This window comes from Homo sapiens, chromosome 14 (genome assembly GCF_000001405.40).
Source record: "Homo sapiens chromosome 14, GRCh38.p14 Primary Assembly".
NCBI classification, from domain to species: Eukaryota; Metazoa; Chordata; class Mammalia; order Primates; family Hominidae; genus Homo; species Homo sapiens.
Window position 1 is genome coordinate 77,229,465 of NC_000014.9, and position 20,555 is coordinate 77,250,019.

The 20,555-nt window shown below is 52.6% G+C and overlaps 1 protein-coding gene across 1 annotated transcript in view; it reads left to right on the forward strand.

Moving 5' to 3' along the window:
• The window catches only part of TMEM63C (transmembrane protein 63C), a 77,698-nt gene that overhangs the window by 47,667 nt on the left and 9,476 nt on the right, over positions 1–20,555 (forward strand). Inside the window, exons 7-21 of the mRNA NM_020431.4 lie at positions 2,124–2,266; positions 3,988–4,036; positions 7,160–7,268; positions 9,230–9,303; positions 9,948–10,028; positions 10,139–10,262; positions 11,011–11,144; positions 12,883–13,005; positions 13,439–13,592; positions 14,885–14,991; positions 16,476–16,562; positions 17,145–17,210; positions 18,883–19,045; positions 19,303–19,408; positions 19,827–19,994. Coding sequence (NP_065164.2) covers positions 2,124–2,266; positions 3,988–4,036; positions 7,160–7,268; positions 9,230–9,303; positions 9,948–10,028; positions 10,139–10,262; positions 11,011–11,144; positions 12,883–13,005; positions 13,439–13,592; positions 14,885–14,991; positions 16,476–16,562; positions 17,145–17,210; positions 18,883–19,045; positions 19,303–19,408; positions 19,827–19,994 — 1,688 coding nt within the window. The remainder of the gene's footprint in view (positions 1–2,123; positions 2,267–3,987; positions 4,037–7,159; positions 7,269–9,229; positions 9,304–9,947; positions 10,029–10,138; positions 10,263–11,010; positions 11,145–12,882; positions 13,006–13,438; positions 13,593–14,884; positions 14,992–16,475; positions 16,563–17,144; positions 17,211–18,882; positions 19,046–19,302; positions 19,409–19,826; positions 19,995–20,555) is intronic.

A 20,555-nucleotide genomic window follows, 5' to 3' on the forward strand; every position in this document is an offset into this window, starting at 1 on the left:
GTCTTGCTCTGTTCCCCAGGTCACCCAGGCTGGAGTGCAGTGGCATGATATTGGCTCACTGTAGCCTCAACCTCCCAGGCTCAAGCGATCCTCCTACCTCAGCCTCCAGAGTAGCTGGGACTACAGGCACATGCTACCACACCCAGCTAATATATATATATATATATAGTAGAGATGGGGTTTCACCATGTTGCCCAGGCTGGTCTCGAACTGCTGGGCTCAAGCAATCCACCTGTCTCTGCCTCCCAAAGTACCGGGATTACAGGCGCAATCCACCATGCCCAGCCACAAATGCTTTTTAATCATTGTCTTAGGTTCAATGAGATTGTAGATGAATTATTTACTTCTTTTTCATATTTTCCAAAGTTTCTATGAGCACTTGTTGCTTTTAAATTGTTTAAATTGAAGTATAGCATGCACATGGAAAAGTGCACACCAAAAAATGTACAGCTCGGCCCGGCATGGTGGCTCACGCCTGTAATCCAAGCACTTTGGGAGGCCGAGGCAGGCGGATCCCCTGAGCTCAAGAGATCAAGATCATCCTGGTCAACATGGTGAAACCCCGTCTCTACTAAAAAATACAAAAAATTAGCTGGGCGTGGTGGCGCACACCTATAGTCCCAGCTGCTCGGGAGGCTGAGGCAGGAGAATCACTTGAACCCGGGAGGAGGAGGTTGCAGTGAGCCAAGATCGTGCCACTGCCCTCCAGCCTGGGCAACAGAGCAAGACTCTGTCTCAAAAAAAAAAAAAATGTACAGCTCAGTCATCACAAAGCTAAGGCTGTGCCACCATCATCCTGATCCACAACTAGAACATCGCCAATACCCAGCAGCTCTCTTCCTGTCCCCCAACCTTCATCCCCATCCCATTCTAACTCTATAGCTCAGTATTGCCTATAGCTGAACTTTATGTTTGAAACCACACAGTATGTGTTGTTTGTGCCTGGTAACTTTTACTCAGCATTGTGTTTGTGAGGTTCAGCTATGGGTCATTCATTTTTATTGCTGTGTAACAGGGGTCCCCAACCTCCAGGCCACAGATCGATACCTGTTAGGAACCTGGCCCCGCAGCAGGAGGTGAGCGAGCATTACACCTGAGCTCTGCCTCCTGTCAGATCAGCGGCGGCATGAGCTTCTCATAGGAGCACAAATCCTATTGTGAACTGCACATATGAGGGATCTAGGCTGCCTGCTCCTTATGAGACTCTAACTAATGCCTGATGATCTGAGGTAGAACAGTTTCATCCCAAAATTATCTGCCCCCCCACCACCCCACACCCAGGTCCATGGAAAAAATTGTCTTCCACAAAACTGGTCCCTGGTGCCAAAAAGGTTAGGGACCACTGCTGTCTAGTATTTCATGATTTATATATCACAGTTCTTGTGTCCATTTCACCTTGATAGACATGTAAGTTGTTTCCAGTTTGAGGACGTTACAAGTAATGCATCTGTGAAATTTTTATACATGTCTCTAGGTACACATGTCATGCATTTCTGTTGGGTATAAACCTAGGAGTGAATTGCTGGGTCATAGAATGTGCATGTATTCCATTTCAGTAGATAATACCAACTGTTCTCCAGTGTAACTGGGCCAGCATATACACCCATGAGAGCAGGAGAACTCCCAGCGCCCCACACTCTCACCAGCACTTAGTGTTGTCCAACTTTCCAACTTTGGCAAATCTGGCAGTGTGGAGTGATAGCTCATTATCTCGTCATGGGTTTCAGGTGTTCCTTTTTTCCTAAGAGTGCCTCTCAGTACCACAAGTGCTTTATCTGGTGCCTGCACCATAGCAACCACTCAAAATGTTTGAAGAAGTAATAAAAGGATGAATGCATGCTCTATTTCAAGAGTGTTTCTGGATTCCTGAGTGTGTATCTGTAACAGAGCCCCTATCTTTGATATGTCTGTGAAATTCAGTTAAAGTATACTTCAAGGATAACCGAGGCTTTGAGATATAGGGCAATTTCGAAGTTGCCTTATATATGAGATATAGAGATAGTAAAAAAAAAAAAAAACTTGGGGAGGGGGTGATCATTTTCTGCCCTTCCCTCTACCTCCCCGCAACAAGTGGTGGCCACGCTGGCTCCTGAGGCACGTCCTTGTCTGTGTGTCTCTTCCAGGGACGAGGATCTGATTAACAAGTGTGGGGACGACGCGCGCATCTACATCGTGTTCCAGTACCACCTCATCATCTTTGTGCTCATCATCTGTATCCCCTCCCTGGGCATCATTTTGCCCATCAACTATACTGGATCTGTTCTGGGTAGGCAAAGCTCAGCTGGCCCTGGGGCAGCAGCTGGACCTGAGAGGCAGCCAGGCAAGCCAGTCAGGGCTGGGGTTGAGGGTCTAGACATCTATTTTAATCCTGCCTCTGGGAGTTTGTTGTTGTGTGAACTTGAACAAACCATGCTTCGCTTCTCTCATGTGGAGACTGGAGACGATTCCTCCTTTGTCACAGGTTTGGCCCAGAGCCTGACACACAGCAGGCACATAGTATTAATTCAGTTTGGAACTGAGTGTTCATTCATGGCCCCACTCTGGCTGGGCGTTCCTGGAGACCCTTTTGTGACATGTGACCCACTGCAAAGATCCCTGAACCCACTCTGTTGGACATAACACCATAGGTGCAGAATTTGTCTTGTAGGACCTCTACTCCCACTCATTGGAACAGGGTGAGCCCTTTGGAGGGAACAGCATTGTGGATGAGACCTTGGCTTCTAAAACAGAAAAATCATGGCTCCACAATGTTTACCCACACCTGCTCCCCAGAAAATACCTTTGCCTAGCTAATATGTTATTTTATTTTATATTTTATTTATTTATTTATTTAATTTATTGAGACAGAGTTTTGCTATTGTTGCCCAGGCTGGAGTGCAATGGCGCGATCTCAGCTCACTGCAACCTCTGCCTCCTGGGTTCAAGTGATTCTCCTGCCTCAGCCTCCTGAGTAGCTGGGATTACAGGCACCCGCCTCCACACCCGGCTAATTTTTGTATTTTTAGTAGAGACGGGTTTTCACCATGTTGGCCAGGCTGGTCTCAAACTCCTTACCTCCAGTGATCCGCCCGCCTTGGCCTCCTAAAATGCTGAGATTACAGGCATGAGCCACCGCACCTGGCCACTAACATGTGATTTAACCTTGTATATGGCAAATCAGTCTCCCGAGCTTTACTTTCCTCAACTGTCTTAGGGATTGGGAGATCACATGCCACATACCTATACAGTGTTTGATATACATAGTAGGTGCTCAATGAATAGCAGCTAGTATTTCATTTAGAATCATGAAGCTGAATGGAGCTGTATGAAGACTGTACAACTGGGTGGTGCAGAATAGCACCGTAAATGCCCCAGGGGCAACCAGCTTTCCCCTGATTCCTCAGGTTTCTACCTGTTCATCCTTGGCCAGAGGTAGACCTTAATTAATTCAGTTTAGCACACTGAGTGTCCATGCCACCAAATGCCACTACTAGAGTAATATCTGAGTCTTGTCTCATCCCAAGAGCTGGTATGTTGGCAGTGATAATATCATGCAGGATTTTTAGACACATTTTATAAGGGGGTGTCTGAACCGTCAAACTAATGCACATAGCCAGAAGGATTTCCTCTGAATGAGGCAGTGTTGCCTTTTCTGGACGTTGCCAGTGGTAATAGTGTTGCTAATTTCATCATTCTGCTCGTGGCTGGATGGCTGGTGCCTCCAACAAGCATTCACTGGGTGTCCATTATGTGCCAATTATGCCCTGGAGATACCACACAAAGAAGTGTTCTCGCTTTCCTCCCGAGAGCCCCAGTCAGCAGTGCCAGGGAAAAGAGGCCTCTGATGTCTTTGTTAAAAGTTGGGGAGAAGCTCTGGGGAACCAGAAGGAAGAGGAGGTCAAAGGCAAGCATCTCCAGACCCCACGCATTTGTCCAGGAACCTTGAATTCTGGCGCCCCCAGCAACTGAGGAGCCAGGCTCGAGGTCAGCAACTTCTTTCTCTTTCAGACTGGAGCAGTCACTTTGCTCGGACCACCATTGTCAATGTCTCCACAGAGTAGGTACCTGATCTTAACCTCCCATTCCATTGGCTGGGGGTGTTGGTGTGGAGAGGAGGTCTAACATGTCAGTTTGCAACATGGGCAGCGTTTTGCTGATAAGAAAGGCCTGGTTTCCCTGGGAATCGGGTCCTGAGTGAGATGCCAGAAGCTGCATCCTCTTGGTGGGGCAGGACTCTTGGTGTGAGATGAGGCCCTGTGTCCTCATCTGTCATGAGTGGAGCTGCCCAAACTGGCCACTCATGAAGACGTGGAGAAATGGTCCTATTTGCTTAGTGTACCCAGATCCCAAGAGGCAGAGACCATGTGCTGAAAGAGATTGAAGATTGTTTTCCTGCCACCAATAGGTTCCAGTCAGCCGTCATATACCCGAGTGAATCATGTGCCTGACAGTCCCCCTCAGAGTCCCACAGCAGACTCGTGCCCCACCTCTGCCATTAACTGGCCCTAGGTCTGAAGCAGTGCACCCCCAACACTGAGCTTCAGTCCTTATTCATGTCCATCATTGGGGAAGAGCTGGTGGACATGCTCTCTAAGCTCCTTCCCCTCACAGGCCAAGAACCTGTGGGTTTCAACTTCAGCCAACCTGACTGGAGGCCATATCAATTTGCCCCGAGCCAAATGTGGCCCCGTTGGTCCATGCCATGGCCCAGGTGTCTAGGCCAGCTTGGCTGATTCCTGACAAAGCTGCAGAAGCAGCTCCAGCAAGTGTGAGTGGGGTTCACACACCCCTGCCCCACCTCGCCTCCCCCAACCCCTATCCCTCTGCCCCTGCTCTCCTGCAATACACCTTGGAGCAGACTGGCTTAACCCAAATTCTGAAATGAGCGGAAAGGGGCTATGGCATCCTCTCACCTCTGCTTTGACCATATCCTCCCCTGAGGATGCCAACCAGAGCAGGGATATCGGCTCCTTCCCGAGGCCCATTGCTGGCCCGAGGTACCTACATCTTCCCAACAAAAAGTGAATTCTAGTAGAACAGCAAAAAGCCATCAATCTCCATGAATCTATCCTGGCAGAGAGCTGGAACATTCTGTAGAGACCATGTAGCCTTGCCCTTCTGTGGAAACTGAGGGTGGAGCAGCATGGTGGATCCACCATCATAGCAGATGGCAATGGCGTGTGAGGTGCCAGGCACCAGGGGTATTTTGAAACAAGGTGACCTTTCTCCCCTCTAACCATGTAGAATAAAGTGGGCCCTATTTCTGAGTAGCAATCCTAGCCAGGTGCTTTGGGATGGCATCATGTGGGTTGAAAGCAGGGATGGCAAACATGGTCCAAGTGCCACGACTCTCCTACCCCAGGGGCGGTGCTGCAAACCGTCTGGTCCTCCTCCCCCGAGGCCTGCAGGTAACACAGGTTCTTCCTCACTTGGTCTGCTGTGCAACCATGGGGGCCTGAGCCACAGCAGTTGGCAGGATGGCGTAGCAGTGATGAATCTAAGTACTTCAGCAGCTCTGGGCTCACCTCCCAGCGCACCATTGCTACAGTGACCTTGAGAGGGGCACCGACCCTCTCTCACCCTCCTTTCCCTATGAGTGAAGTGAAGATAACCACATGCATGGCTATGTGTGTGGTTGAGTCTAGTGAGAAAATGCACACCATGCACTAAGTCCCACTTGGATCTGGCTCAGAGTAAACACTCAATAAACGTTCCCCCCATGAGCTGGAGCAAGACCCTTTCTCACCACTGATGCCCCTTCCAAGGCACCTGAGTGTCTGGACTCCAAGAAGGTGTTCCTGGAAAGACTGCATGTGGGCTGGGAGAGAGGGGTCCAGGGAGATTGTGATCGGTGGGAGGGGAGGGTCTGAGAAGACTGCAATGGATGGGGAGATATTTGGGGAGACTGTGATAGGTGAGAGGGGAGGATCCAGGGATACTGTGATGGGTGGGAGGGAGACCTGGGAGACTGTGATGGGTGGGGAAGGTGTCCAGGGGGACTGCAGTGGGTGGGGGTCTGGGGAGACTGTGGTGGGTGGGGGGTCTGGGGAGACTGTGATGGGTGGCGGTTATGGGGAGACTGCAATGGGTGGGAGGATCTGGGGAGACTGTGATGGGTGGGAGGGAGCAGGGAGCCCTAGGAGACTGTGATGGGTGGGGAAGGTGTCCAGGGGGACTGCAGTGGGTGGGGGTCTGGGGAGACTGTGGTGGGTGGGGGGTCTGGGGAGACTGTGGTGGGTGGCGGGTATGGGGAGACTGTGATGGGTGGGGGTATGGGGAGACTGTGATGGCTGGGGGTATGGGGAGACTGTGATGGGTGGGGGTATGGGGAGACTGTGATGGGTGGGCGGTATGGGAAGACTGGTGGGTGGGGGGTATGAGGAGACTGTGGTGGGTGGGGGGTATGGGGAGACTGTGGTGGGTGGGGGGGTATGGGGAGACTGTGATGGGTGGGAGGGAGCAGGGAGCCCTAGGAGACTGTGATGGGTGGGGGAGGTGTCCAGGGGGACTGCGGTGGGTGGTGGCCTGGGGAGATGGTGATGGGTGGGGGGGTCTGGGGAGACTGTGATGGGTGGGGAGTCTAGGGAGACTGTGATGGGTGGGGGTCTGGGGAGACTGTGGTGGGTGGGGGGTATGGGGAGACTGCGATGGGTGGGGGCATGGGGAGACTGTGATGGTAGGGGGAGTCTAGGGAGACTGTGATGGGTGGGGGTCTGGGGAGACTGTGGTGGGTGGGGGGTATGGGGAGTCTGTAATGGATGGGGGTATGGGGAGACTGTGATGGGTGGGGGTATGGGGAGACTGTGGTGGGTGGGGGGTATGGGGAGACTGGTGGGTGGGGGGTATAGGGAGACTGTGATGGGTGGGGGTATGGGGAGACTGTGATGGGTGGGGGTATGGGCAGACTGTGGTGGGTGGGGGGTATGGGCAGACTGGTGGGGGGGTATGGGGAGACTGTGATGGTAGGGGGAGTCTAGGGAGACTGTGATGGGTGGGGGTGGGGGATACTGTAATGGGTTGGGGTCTGGGGAGACTTGGATGGTTGTGGGGGTCTGAGGAGACTGTGATGGGCTGGGGGGCCCCAGGAGACTGAGGGTAGGAGGAGGCCCAGGGGTCTCTGTGCAGTGGGCTCTGGGGAGCTCACAGGCTGACCTCACTGCTGCTGCCTCCCTCCCTGCAGGAGCAAGCTCCTGTGGCTGCATAGCCTGCTGTCCTTCTTCTACTTCATCACCAACTTCATGTTCATGGCTCATCACTGCCTGGGGTTTGCACCCAGGAATAGCCAAAAGGTAAGTAGCCTACAAAGCTGCTTCCCACTGTGGGAAGCTGGGGTCCCTCCCCACTGGGCTGACCACTTCCAACCCTCAGAGAAGCCCTCAGAGGGTCCAGGGAGACTGTGATAGATGGGAGGGGGCGGTTTCACCTGAGCAGGGGCCAAGCTTCCTCCCTTCAGTCCTAGTAACAATCACCTGGCCCCCACCTCTCACCCTTCTCCACCCTCTCACCCTCCTCCACGCTGCTCCACCCTCTCACGCTCCTCCACCCTCTCACCCTCCTCCACGCTGCTCCACCCTCTCACGCTCCTCCACCCTCTCACCCTCTCACCCTCCATCCTCTCACCCCTAATGAAACTTTCAGACTGGTTGGTAAATAGCTGCTGCCCAGGTACCTCCTATCCCTGCCCCTCTGCTGCCCCGCCCCTCCCCAGGGACTCTTGGACTTCCCACCATCTGAAAACTAAAGGATTAACAAGGCCCAGTGGACCAGCGGGGGCCTCCATGCTAAGTGGTCTGGGCCCTGCTGAGCTGCTGCTACTTAGTGTACCTGGCCCTGCCCACCCCTGCTAGGCCCGTGCCTCGCCCTTCTGCAGTCTCTCGGAGATCAGAGACCCCCGTGTATCCCCACCGTCTCAGTTTGGGTGACCCCATCCAAGCAGACCCTGAGACTTGGAATGAGTAGCGCTTGTTTATGGGAGGTGATCCCAGGAAAGGCCAGTAAGGGAGTGAGGATGCAAAGGCAACCAAAAAAAGGGAGCATGGAGGGGCAACTTACCCCTGTGGGCAAGTGGAGCTTCATGACCAGGGAACTCTGGGAGCTGGTGTAGAGCACATGCCCCAGAATTTTCCTGGAGGTGAGCAATCGTGGGTATTTTCCACCAGCTCCCTGTCCACCGTTCATTGAGGGTTGCGCTTGGGGGCTTTAACTCCTCCCCTACTTGGCCCTGCACAAAAGCTGAACATGCCCCAAGGCCGGGAAAGAGCAGTCGCAGTATTTGAAGCATGCTGCAGGTGTTGGTGTGCAGAGATGACTGACGGGGGGCCACGGGCAGGCACCAGCAGTGCCACCCATCTGGACCAGCACCCATGCTCTGCTGGGGATGGGCAAGAGTGAGGAGCATCCTTAGTTCCCGTCCTCAGCCTTTCAAAGGTTCAGTGGTGTGGAATCAGCTCCTTCCAGGCCGTCCATTCAAAAGGACTGATTCACTTGAACCCACCCCAGAGTGCAAATCCACATTCCCTGAAAAGTGAACCCAAATGCTTCAGCCTGCCAGGCATGGAGGCTTGGTCACCCTTGACCAGTCTGGTGTCTGCTACTTCAGCTTTCCTTCTTGTCACCAGAAGCCTCTTTCAAGACCCCTGATTCTTGCAGCACAATTACCAGACTGTCATCTTAAAGGTGACGACCCAGGAAGATATTTCCCATTCACAGAATAAAGTGTGAAGTTTAGGGAAGCTTCCCTACCCTCTCCCCAGAGTCTTGTTTACTTCCCAACTCCCCGGCCCAGTCTCACGTGAGGGATTTCCCTAGAGATGTGAGGCTTTACGCTGGAACAGTGGAAGCTACAGGGAGAGCAGAAATCACTGTGGGGTCGCTCTGGCAGCTCTTTCCAATCATGGAGCTCTGATCCTCCACCCCAGCCTGATGGCAGCTTTCCAGTCCTTCCTCCCTTCACCACAGCAGTCCGGAGCAGGGCACCCACAGCTGGGCACAGAGGAGAACGGAAGCACAGTTGACCAACCTCAGAGCTGCCTGGCTCAGCTGGGACGCTGTGGGCTAAGGCAGCTGGCACTTCCTTGGCCCACAGTGTCCCAGCTTGGCTCTGGCTTTCTTGGCTCTCTCAGCAAGGAGGCACTGGCATCAGCAGCCTGCTGTGAGCAGAAGGCCTGCTCTGAGCCACCAAAAGACTGAGGTGTCTGGAATTCCTATGCAAGCACAGTCTTCTTTCTCCATTTTTATTTTTCCCACCCAGGTCACAAGGACACTAATGATCACCTATGTGCCCAAGGACATTGAAGACCCAGAACTCATCATTAAGCATTTTCAGTAAGTGGGTTGGGGTAGGCCAAGGCGTGGATTGCTTCCTCCCCATAACCCCGCCTGGGTCCTCAAGTGGGTAGTGAGTTGGTGCAGGATGGTGGGACTGGGACACCCCGGGGTGGCTCTCCCTGGACTCAGCTCAGGATCAGCTTTTTAGAATGGGGAGGGCCGCTGGAGCTGGAGCAGGGTGTCTGAAGTCAGGGACTTCCTGCATGGCATGGCTGTGATATGGGTGATGGGAATTTTTCTTTCTCCTGTTGCTTCAACTACTGAGCACAGGGAACCTTGGATCACAGCTATTTAGAGAAGATCATCTGGAGACATCCTTTGTGACCCCAAGTTCCCAGCCCCAAGGACACTGTTCACTGAGCTAATTATCTCTTCGTGAACAGCTGTCTCCTGGGTTCCCCAGTGGGTGGAGCTCCGCCCTTTTGCCCTGTTCTGAGTTGTGTAGGAAGGATTTGGCAGCTCTCAGATTGCCAAGGTTCAAACCCTGAGGTTCAGCTTTAGGAGCAGAGATGGAGTATCCCATCCAGGAACACCAGGCAGCTGAGCCACCCAGCCCTCAGGGCCGACATGCTGGGCAGGGGGTAGGGGCAGCACATCCCCAACCCCACAGGCCGACTCAGCACCCATGTTTGTGGCTGCAGCGAGGCCTATCCAGGCAGTGTCGTGACAAGAGTCCACTTCTGCTACGACGTCAGGAACCTGATCGACTTGGACGATCAGAGGTGAGGCTGCAGCGGGGCCTTTTGGGGCCCGGGGTGGGGGTAAAAGGGGAGGATGGGGCTCTGCTGGCCCCTGACCTGCAGGTCCTTCTCCTGTTGCCCACCGCTGGCAGGCGCCATGCCATGCGGGGCCGGCTTTTCTATACAGCCAAGGCCAAGAAGACTGGGAAGGTGATGATCAGGATCCACCCCTGTGCCCGCCTGTGCTTCTGCAAGTGCTGGACCTGCTTCAAGGAGGTAACTGGCTTGAGCGTTGGGAGCACAGCAAGGGAGCGGTGGGGTCCTGGGGCTCTAGGCTCTGTGCCTTTGCCCGCACTGTTGGGCCCCAGGCCTCACTCAGGTCTGCTCTAGTGCTCCCCACCCAGCTCCTTCCTCCCCATCCACCATGTCCTGCCTCCCTGTTGAGATGGGAGCCTTTCTGGAGGCCACCTTCAGAACAATCCAGGGAAGCTTGCTGCTGTCTCCTTTCTGGTCTTGGATGGGAGAATGAGAGAGAAGGACCAGAGAAAACACAGCAGGCTACACGAGGCTGCCAGGCCTCAGGCTCCCAAAGAGATAGGACAGAAACATTTGAAGGCAACAGCTTGTCTTATCACCTGACCACTGTGGCTCAAAGAGGGCGTCGAGACTCAGACACCTGCTTCAGGACCATGCCGAACTTCTGCCAGCCCAGAGATTCACCCTCTCTCGTGGAAATGCGGCAAACACATTCTCTCACCTCTCTGGGGTCCACCCCAAGCCTGAAAGCCCCCGGGTACCCCTAGCTATGCCTCACTTTCCCCAGATCTAAGGGCAGGGGTGAATGGCAGTCATCGCCTCTTCTTGTTCTAGAGGTGGGACTTTGGAGGCCAGCCAGGGTCCTGGGCTCCTTGAGGTGCTTCAAGGCCACCACAATCCAGGGAGGCTTGAGTGGGGAGGAACCTCGTGACCAGGGAGGCCTTCCTGGGGCTCTGGCCCCAGCCCTGAAGGCTGCCTGCCACCCCAGGTGGATGCAGAGCAGTATTACAGCGAGCTAGAGGAGCAGCTAACGGACGAGTTCAACGCCGAGCTCAACCGCGTGCCGCTCAAGCGGCTGGACCTGATCTTTGTCACCTTCCAGGACTCCAGGATGGCCAAGCGGTGAGCACCAGGCAGGCGCCCCACCCAGCCCCAAGCATACTCCTGCTTCTCGGCACTCTCCTCCCTCTCCACCTCCAGTTTCCCCTTCTGCCTCCCCTGGGCCCTCCATGCTCGTCACAGGCAGCTGCCATCTGGCTCTCCAGTGGATGAGATGGCCATACCTGCTTCCCCCAGCTGCTGGGGCCCAGCTGCTCTCAAGGGGTGCCCAGGCCGGGGCTCCTCACTCCCTGTCCTTGCTTTAGCACAGAGGTGGTCAGAGAAGCCTTTGACCTCATGGTCCCTCTTCTGCCCTTGACAAGAATGACATCCCTTTTCCCTTTTTCTTTTTTTTTTTTTTTCTTTTTTTTTTTTTTTCTTTTTTTGAGAGAGTCTCGCTCTGTCACCCAGGCTGGAGTGCAATGGCACAATCTCAGCTCACTACGACCTCTGCCTCCCAGGTTCAAGCGATTCTCCTGCCTCAGCCTCCCAAGTAGCTGGGATTACAGGTGCCTGCCACCATGCCCGGCTAATGTTTGTATTTTTAGTAGAGACGGGGTTTCACCATGTTGGCCAGGCTGGTCTCGAACTCCTGACCTCAGGTGATCTGCCCACCTCAGTCTCCCAAAGTGCTGGGATTACAGGTGTGAGCCACTGCGCCCAGCTGACACACACATCACTCCCTCCTCACCATAAGAGAGCGTCAGGATAGAGCAGCTCTGTTTGCCCTTCTCCTGCCGCAGGCCTCCCCTAATTCATAGCTCTACAGTCCCCTCTCTTCTCTGCCCCAGCCTCTGGCAGCCCATGCGTTGACAAGGAGTGAATTCAGTCCACTCTGGAATGTTCCAGAAGGATCCTTAGGACTGGGCCAAAGTCCTAAAGGAGCTCCAGAATTTATCTCTTAAGAACTGTGGGGGGCAGGGGGGCTCTTCTTTCTGGGGGAGGCTGATCCTGTACAGCACATTGTTCCCACCTACCCCAACCCTACAAAGGAAGAGCAGAACTACCTAGATTTTGCTCACAAACAATGGTACACAATTTTGCAAGTTCCTTACACTCTCAACTTTTTATCTGGCAAATTTGGTTACTGATATCTGTCCTGTTCACCTCCCGGAGGGTTGACAAGTGATATGCCTTCTATTCAGTTTCTGTGTTGTTTAAAGCAATACACCTACCTAAGGTTATATTGTTCATTCTTTGAGACATTGCCATTTGGTAGAGAGGATCCGGGGCTTAATTACAGCAGAATATGAGCTAGCAAGCCAGAGGTGGGGCTCCAGCACCTGCTCCTCTTTGGTCACATCTCTAGGCACCTCGATTTAGTCATCTGTGCAATGGAAATGATACTGGTCATCAATTAGCACAGTGTCAAGCACACAGAAAGAACTCAATAATTAGTAGCTATTGATATTAAGATGAGGCTAAAAGTAGTACCTCCCTTATCAAATCTCAAAGAAAGAGTGTGTTTATGTGCTGTCACTGCTGTTAAGGGGAAAGGCAGAAACAGAACCACGTGGCACCTCTGCCCTGCCTGGGCAGTCTAGGCACCCTCAAATGCCCTTTCCTCCAGATACTGGGCCTTAGGAACTGTCCACCTCTAAGGTCCTGAAGACATATCCAAGGCTTCAAGAATCCCCAGGAAGGGGATGAGCCCCCATCTGTAGGACCACCATAGTGGCCCTGAGCTCCTGGCATGAGACCCTCCTAAGCCCATCCCCCCACCCCCAGACCCACATTTCTTCCTCTTCTCCCCTCTCTGCAGTGTCCGTAAGGATTACAAGTATGTCCAGTGTGGTGTGCAACCCCAGCAGTCCTCAGTGACCACCATCGTCAAATCATATTACTGGAGGGTCACTATGGCCCCACACCCCAAAGACATTATTTGGTAAGCCTCCTCCATCCCTCCCCTCTCCTCTGAGCTCCTCTGAGACTGAAGAAGGCAGCAGGACAGGGCCTTCTCTCCCCATGTCATTGCCCAACAGAGACTCCAAGGGGACTAAGTTCCATGCTCTCCTAAGCACCACAACCTGTGTGTATGCCCAGACTCATTCCCACAAGTGTGGGTGGCATCCAACCCTTAGCAAAAAGGCTTTTCCTGCAGAGGGAACTCAGGTCCATTTTTTTTTGGCTCTATGCTCTGGATCCTTTATAAATGGTGTGACAGGGGACGGTCCAGGGTCCTGTTGCATGCAAGTCTGGGCCCAGGAGGCTGGATTAGACCAGGGCAGGCTGGGTCCACAGCTGGCCTGCAGCAAACAGCACGTGGGCTCTAAGAACTGATGTCTCTAAATGTGCCTCCTTCTTCCATCCTTCCCCAGGAAACACCTGTCTGTCCGCCGCTTCTTTTGGTGGGCCCGCTTTATCGCAATCAACACCTTCCTCTTCTTCCTCTTCTTCTTTCTCACCACGCCTGCCATCATCATGAACACTATCGACATGTACAACGTCACCCGCCCCATCGAGAAGCTGCAGGTGCCTCCTCTGCTCAGGCCAGGCCTGGGGACCCCAGGGAGATCAAGGAATAATTCAGGCGAGGATGGGATGGGGGGAGCCCCCTGGGAGGGGGCTGTGGAGCCCATACAGTGCGAACATTGTGGAGGTGGCCATGGTGCAAATGGCGGGGTAGGGCTTGCTTTGTTCTAAAGGGATGAAGGTGGGTGACTGCCAGTCTTAGGGACCAGGGCTAGAGTGGGAAGGGAGAGTGGGGAGTCCACAGGCAGGTCCTGGGGTGAGTTGGAGGGGGTGTCGTCCTGTCAACATGGGCTCAGAGGTCTTCATGAACGGGGTCATCCCAGGCCAGCTTGGGGTCCAGAGGGTGTGGCAAGTGTGAGTGGCTCTGCTCTCTGCAAGTTGTCCGAGGCAGCAGGCTCCTGGTTTGTGTAGTAGGGTTAAAGGTGAGGAAGAGTGAGGTAAGCCCCAACGCAGCCCTCTCAGAGAAGTGGGAGCTCAAGATCTGCCTCCACCTCCCTCATCTCCAGACACCTGCACTCCAGGCTGGGAGCCCTCAGCCCTGGAGGAACCATCTCTGAAGTTAGGGGATGCCTCCTGCTGATGGTGCAGGTCAGAGGGATCCTAGCCCATTTCCAAATTCTTTAGCCTCAAGACTGTTACTAGGAGCCTAGAAGGTCTCTTCTTCCATATTCTCGCCATCCTCATTTCCAACAACACACATGTGCATGCGCACATGCACACACTCACACAAAGTCAACACACACGCATGCACACACACGCACACATGCACAGTCAACAGACGTGTGCATGCACGCACACACATACAGTCAACATGTGTGCATGCACACACGTACACACACACACAAGTCAAGCCACACCACTTCTGCTGCTGATTTTTGTTCCCCTTTGTCAACTTTGTAATAGGCCCCAGACCCCACGCATCCTGGGAGGGCCACAGCTCTCCCTGGGGACTCCTCCATCCTCCCCTCCTCCCCCGCTCACATGTCATCACAGCAAAGGCAATTTGCTGGGGTTGCACTCCTGGCTAGCTCTGGCCTTAGGAGGAAGTCACTCAAGAAAGCTCAGGCTGCCGCTCCAGTGACCTCAGCATAGAAGGCCTAGCTGCTTGGGGACTCCACTTGACCTTGGGTGTCAGCCTCTGCCTGGCCAGGAAAGCCAGTGAGAAGGGCCAGGCCCCTTGCAGCCTCCAGGAGAGCAAGCCAGCCCTGGGAGTGAGTGGGAGGAGAAGAAGCAAGGGGAAGAGGATGCTTGCATTGACGTCTCTCCTGCCGTCCTCCCCTCTCCCCCTGCAGAACCCAATTGTGACCCAGTTCTTCCCCTCTGTGATGCTCTGGGGCTTCACAGTGATACTGCCTCTGATTGTCTACTTCTCCGCCTTCCTCGAGGCCCACTGGACCAGGTGACCTGGGGGCCTCCTCTCGTAGCCCTGTGGTTTCTCCAGCCTCTTCCCCTGCCCTGGCTTCCCCGCCAGCCTGGCACTTGGGCCTCCCCTCTAGCCTAAGAAGGAGAATTGATAAGGGATGGTTTTGATACCTGAAACCATCCCCAAAGACCAACAGGTGTTCTGTCTTTGGAAGGAGGGTCTGGGTTGACTCTGGGCCCCTGGGTTGCTGAGATAGAGCCACTGTCTAAGAGTGTGGGGCCAAAGCCAAGCCCTCCTTGAGCTTCTCCCTCAGCCCCCAGCCATATCCTGAAGGCATGGAGCTGTAGGCATGAGCTAGGCAGTCCCAGGCATTCCATGCAGAAGGCACAGGAGGAAAGACTTGTGTGGGAATGTCAATAGAATGCTTTGGCCACACAGAGGGGCCCACAAACTCACTATGACTGTCATCACATATGGCCCACACCATGCCAACCTTTTACCCAATCAGGAGCGTTCCCATTTGTTAGCCTTGATGGTTCTATGGTGGCTGCTCACTGGGTAGAAAGTATTTGCCATACCCTGGGCAGGTGGCAGTACTTTGGCTTGAAAGCTGCATGCATCTCAAAAGTTATTTTCCGCACCAAAAGTTCCTACTATTCCACCAGGCAGCAGCCAAAAGGTTTGTCCTAACGGAAATCCTTCCTGGCCTTTTCCTCTGGCCAAGAACAAGACTTATATTGATGACTGAAACTGCAGGGATTTTTAGTATTCTTGGTAATGTCTCTTTAACACAGAGACATCAACTATATGGCACATCTGTGCCTTCCCATCCCTTCCCATGCCCAGCACAGACATCACTAGTGGATCATGCTGTTCTTTCCTGATGCTCCCAGATGCAGCACAGCTCACAGTGGTGTATGGAGATGGCATCGGTATGCACAATTAAACCAATTTCCCAGCCCAGACCTCTACTCTGCGTATGTCTGTATTAGCCAGTTTTCACACTGCTGATAAAGACATACCCGAGACTGGACAATTTATAAAAGAAAGAGGTTTCATTGGACTCGCTATTAGTCCATTTGCACTCTGCTGATAAAGACATACTCAAGACTGGGTAATTAACATAGGAAAAAGGGTTTATTGGACTTGCAGTTCCATGTGGCTGGGGAAGCCTCACAATCATGGTGGCAGGCAAGGAGGAGCAAGTCACATGTTACGTGGATGGCAGCAGGCAAAGAGAGCTTGTGCAGGGAAACTCCCCCTTGTAATACCATCAGATCTCACGAGACTTATTCGCTATCATGAGAACGGCATGGGAAAGACCCACCCCCCATAATTCAATCATCTCCCACTGGGTCCCTCCCACAACATGTGGGAATTATGAGAGCTACAAGATGAGATTTGGGTGGGGACACAGAGCCAAACCATATCAGTGTCTCTCTTCCTCTCTATTACATAGTTAGGCCTTTGGTTCTTATTAGGCCACGTCCATTGATGAATATCTCTCTGTTTCCTTCTAGATCAAGTCAGAATCTGGTCATGGTGCACAAGTGCTACATCTTTCTGGTGTTCATGGTAGTCATTCTGCCCTCTATGGGACTGACCAGGTACCTCACTTCCAATTATCCCTTCCTTCTTAGCCAGGCTCTCTTAGAGTTAAGACCTCCTCTTTCAGATACTGTAGACCTGCCTGTGATTGCTGCAAACCCACTCCTCAAAGACAGCCCCATGCCTGTCATGGGTGTAGCATGAGCCGGGCTTCCTGCAGACACTAACGTGTCAGCCGTGAGTTCAGCCCACATAGAGCTTATCATCTGGCTGGGGACACAAGGCGTGCTTACCAGTTGCCTGACAGCCCCACATGGGAACAACACAGCCAAAAAGCAGTGGAAATTCAGAAGAGGGAGAGAGTACTGTGAGAGAAATGAGTGAATATTGTGAGAGAAATGTCTGCTTACAGTTTTGCAAACTGGCCCAGGTTTGCTGGAGGAGGTGGCCTTGAGCTGAAAGGCCAAAGGGCTCGGGGCCAGGACAGCCCAGCACTAAGAAGGAAGAGGGGAAGTGTGGACTGGCCAGCTGGAATAAAGCAAGGGTCTTTCTTTGGAGATTGGGCAAGGGAGGATGGTTGAACCCTCAGCCTTAGCTCATAGGTTTGCTAACTAACAGACCTGCCTTGTTTTTGCTTCTAGTTTGGATGTCTTTCTCCGCTGGCTCTTTGACATCTACTATCTAGAGCAAGCATCCATCAGGTTCCAGTGAGTACTCCCATGTGTCCACCAGGGCTGCTGTGTGTGCACACAGGAGTGGTTATATGTGCTCTTCCCTGAGTCCAGCACCTGAATTTGCTCACAGAAGTGTAGACAAATGCTTGTGAACACCCTCACTGGGCAGACTTGTTACCTTTCCTGTGCTGGGATCCCTTTGGCAATCTAGTTAAGCCCAGGGACCCCTTCTCAGAATGATATCTTTGAAATAATTGTATAGTCACAGGAAGTTGCCCCCAAACTGTATGCAGGGTGGGTGTTCCATGAGCCCTTTATCCAGTTTCCCCCAATGGAAGCACTGTGCATAACTATAGTGTAATATCAAAACCAGGAAATTGACACTGGTCCATCCACAGAGCTTATTCTGATTCTGCCAGTTTTACGTGTACTCTGAATGATGTCTTTATGTGCACAAAATACATGGATTACAAAGAAAACCAATTATACAATTATACTGAATTACAGTTATCAAGATATTTTAAAAATCAAATTTTTGACATAGTCTTTATAAACACAAGATATTGCTTTTTTTTTTGAGACCAAGTCTCATTCTGTCGCCCAGGCTGGAGTGCAGTGGCGCAATCTCGGCTCACTACAACCTCTGCCTCCCAAGTTCAAGCGATTCTCCCACCTCAGCCTGCCGAGTAGCTGAGATTACAAGCACATGCCACCATGCCTGGCTAATTTTTGTATTTTTAATAGAGGTGGGGTTTCACCATGTTGGCCAGGCTGGTCTCGAACTCCTGGCCTCAAGTGATCTGCCCACCTCAGCCTCCTAAAATGCTGGGATTACAGGCTTGAGCCACCACACCCAACCAATATTGCATTTTTTATATAAGCAAGCTAAAGTTACATTTTACTGTCTTAAAAACATCAGTATAAAAACTGATATTACTTATTGGAATAAGAATATTAAACTAGGGGGGATCATTGACAAAGCAACATGCAGACCACGTGGGACATTCTGCCAATTTCGATTTTTTTGTTTTAGTGATAACAAGTGTTGAGAATCCCAATTTTCAAAGATATGTTGCAAATGACATGCAAACTTCCATAACTTGCTCTATAAGGCAAGGACCAGAATCCTTCAAGGTATTTTTTAGTAGAGATGGGGTTTCACCATGTTGGCTGGGCTGGTCTCAAACTCCTGACCTCAGGTGATCTGCTCACCTCGGCCTCCCAAAGTGCTGGGACTACAGGTGTGAGCCACCATGCCCTGCCGTATTGCCCACATTCTTAATGCAAGAAAATGCTAAATTTCAGTTAGAGATTAGTGAAAATAAAGATGTTATTTTTTCCCATCCTAGTTTACAGACCCCCCAGAAACCCACTCATGGATTCTCCCGAGTCTTTGGACCTGGCTCAGACACCCTTGCTTTGGATCAAGCCAATGCATGTATCCCCTAACACACCCATGCTTTATGTGGTCCCTGCCCCTCCCTGCTCAGGGGACTGCTTGTTAACTTCATTGGGTTGGGGACATATATATTATAGGAGAGAGACAGAGAAAAAGAAAGAGAGGAAATGTTATTCTCCTTGTCTGTATCTGTATCTCCACTCCGATTCCCATTCCCTCTGCTGCTCTCCTCTCTCTCCTCCCTTTTAACATCTCTCCCTCTCCCTGTGGCTTCTGTTGCCACCTTCCCTCTCCCTCACTGCCCAGGTGTGTGTTCCTGCCAGACAACGGCGCCTTCTTTGTCAACTACGTGATCACGGCAGCTTTACTTGGCACAGGCATGGAGCTGCTGCGTCTGGGGTCACTCTTCTGCTACAGCACCCGCCTCTTCTTCTCTAGATCAGAGCCAGAGAGAGTCAACATCAGAAAGGTACAGACTGGCTCTCCGCTGAGCACAGCCCTCAGTTTCCTTTGGGAGGGTGTCAGGGATAGAGCCTGCTAGAAGCACCAAGGGGGTTGAGGTGGGAGGGACGGTGTGGATGGGTGTTGGTGGGGCACCTTGGTCTACAGGGTTGGAAAGGAGGCTGCCTCCAGGCCTGAGCTGCCAGGAGGCTGATGAGGAGCCACAGAAGTAGTCAAGCCAAGGGGACTGGGCCACCTCAGGGTGACACCTGCCTTCTGCCCCAGAACCAGGCCATAGACTTCCAGTTTGGGCGTGAGTATGCGTGGATGATGAACGTGTTCAGCGTGGTGATGGCGTACAGCATCACTTGCCCCATCATTGTGCCTTTTGGTGAGTCATCTCCAAGGCATGCCCAAGGGCTGCACATCCGCAGATGGGGAGGAGGAATTGAGCCTCACAACATCAGTCCACCTCCTGGAGCATGGGGAGACCTGTGGTAGGGAGGGGTCAGGGCCAGGGCCAAGCTGGGGGTACAGGGCAGCTGAGGTTGGATGGCTGCCGATGGGGGATGTTTGTTGAATGAACGCATGAGAGAATGACTCTTCACCAAGCTGAAACAGTCAGTTCTCGGGGCTCAAGGGAAGCTGCTGGCTCCGGAGGTCAGTACCACGGAGCTCCCCCAACCCATCCTTGGTTGTTGTGACTCTGACAGCCGTGGATCTGGCTTCTCAGGCCTGTGGAGACACTGGAGCCACAAAGGTCCAGACTTGAAGGGGCCACTGAGTAAGTTTCCACCTTTGTCCCCCAGGGTTGCTCTACCTGTGCATGAAGCACTTGACGGATCGCTATAACATGTACTACTCCTTTGCACCCACCAAACTGAACGAGCAGATCCACATGGCTGCCGTCTCCCAGGCCATCTTTGCGCCACTCTTGGGTCTGTTCTGGATGCTGTTCTTCTCCATCCTGCGGTTGGGTAGGTACCAAGCCAGCCTGGAGACCCCACCTCCACCTGCCCCACTGTTCTGTGAGTCCCTTAACACTGACCCTGTTAGAGGAGAAAAGCCCAGGCAGGGCAAGACGCTGCTCACCAGACCTGGCCACACCCAGTGACTTCTCTGGGCCTAAAGGGCCTACATTAGAGTCTCAGCTGAGCTTCAAGGCTAAGAGGAGGCCCTGGACCAACATGGTCCCCAGGTGTGGATTTGGGTTTCCAGCGCTCAGGGAAGGAAACCTCATATTCCTTCTTTCTAAGTCTAGACGGGTGGAAAATAGAGTATCAGCTATTGGGAGGCTCAGTTCCCATGACATTTCCTCTGGGATCCCATAAGATGCCTGGTTTTTTGTTTTGTTTTTTAATTTTATTTTTTGAATCAGAATCTTGCTCTGTCGTCTAGACTGAAGTACAGTGGCGCGATCACGGCTCACTACAGCTTTGACCTCCTGGTCTCAAGCAATTCTGCCACTTCCCCCTCCCCAGTAGCTGGGACTACAGGCGTGAGCTGTCATGACTGGCTAATTGTTTTTAATTTTGTAG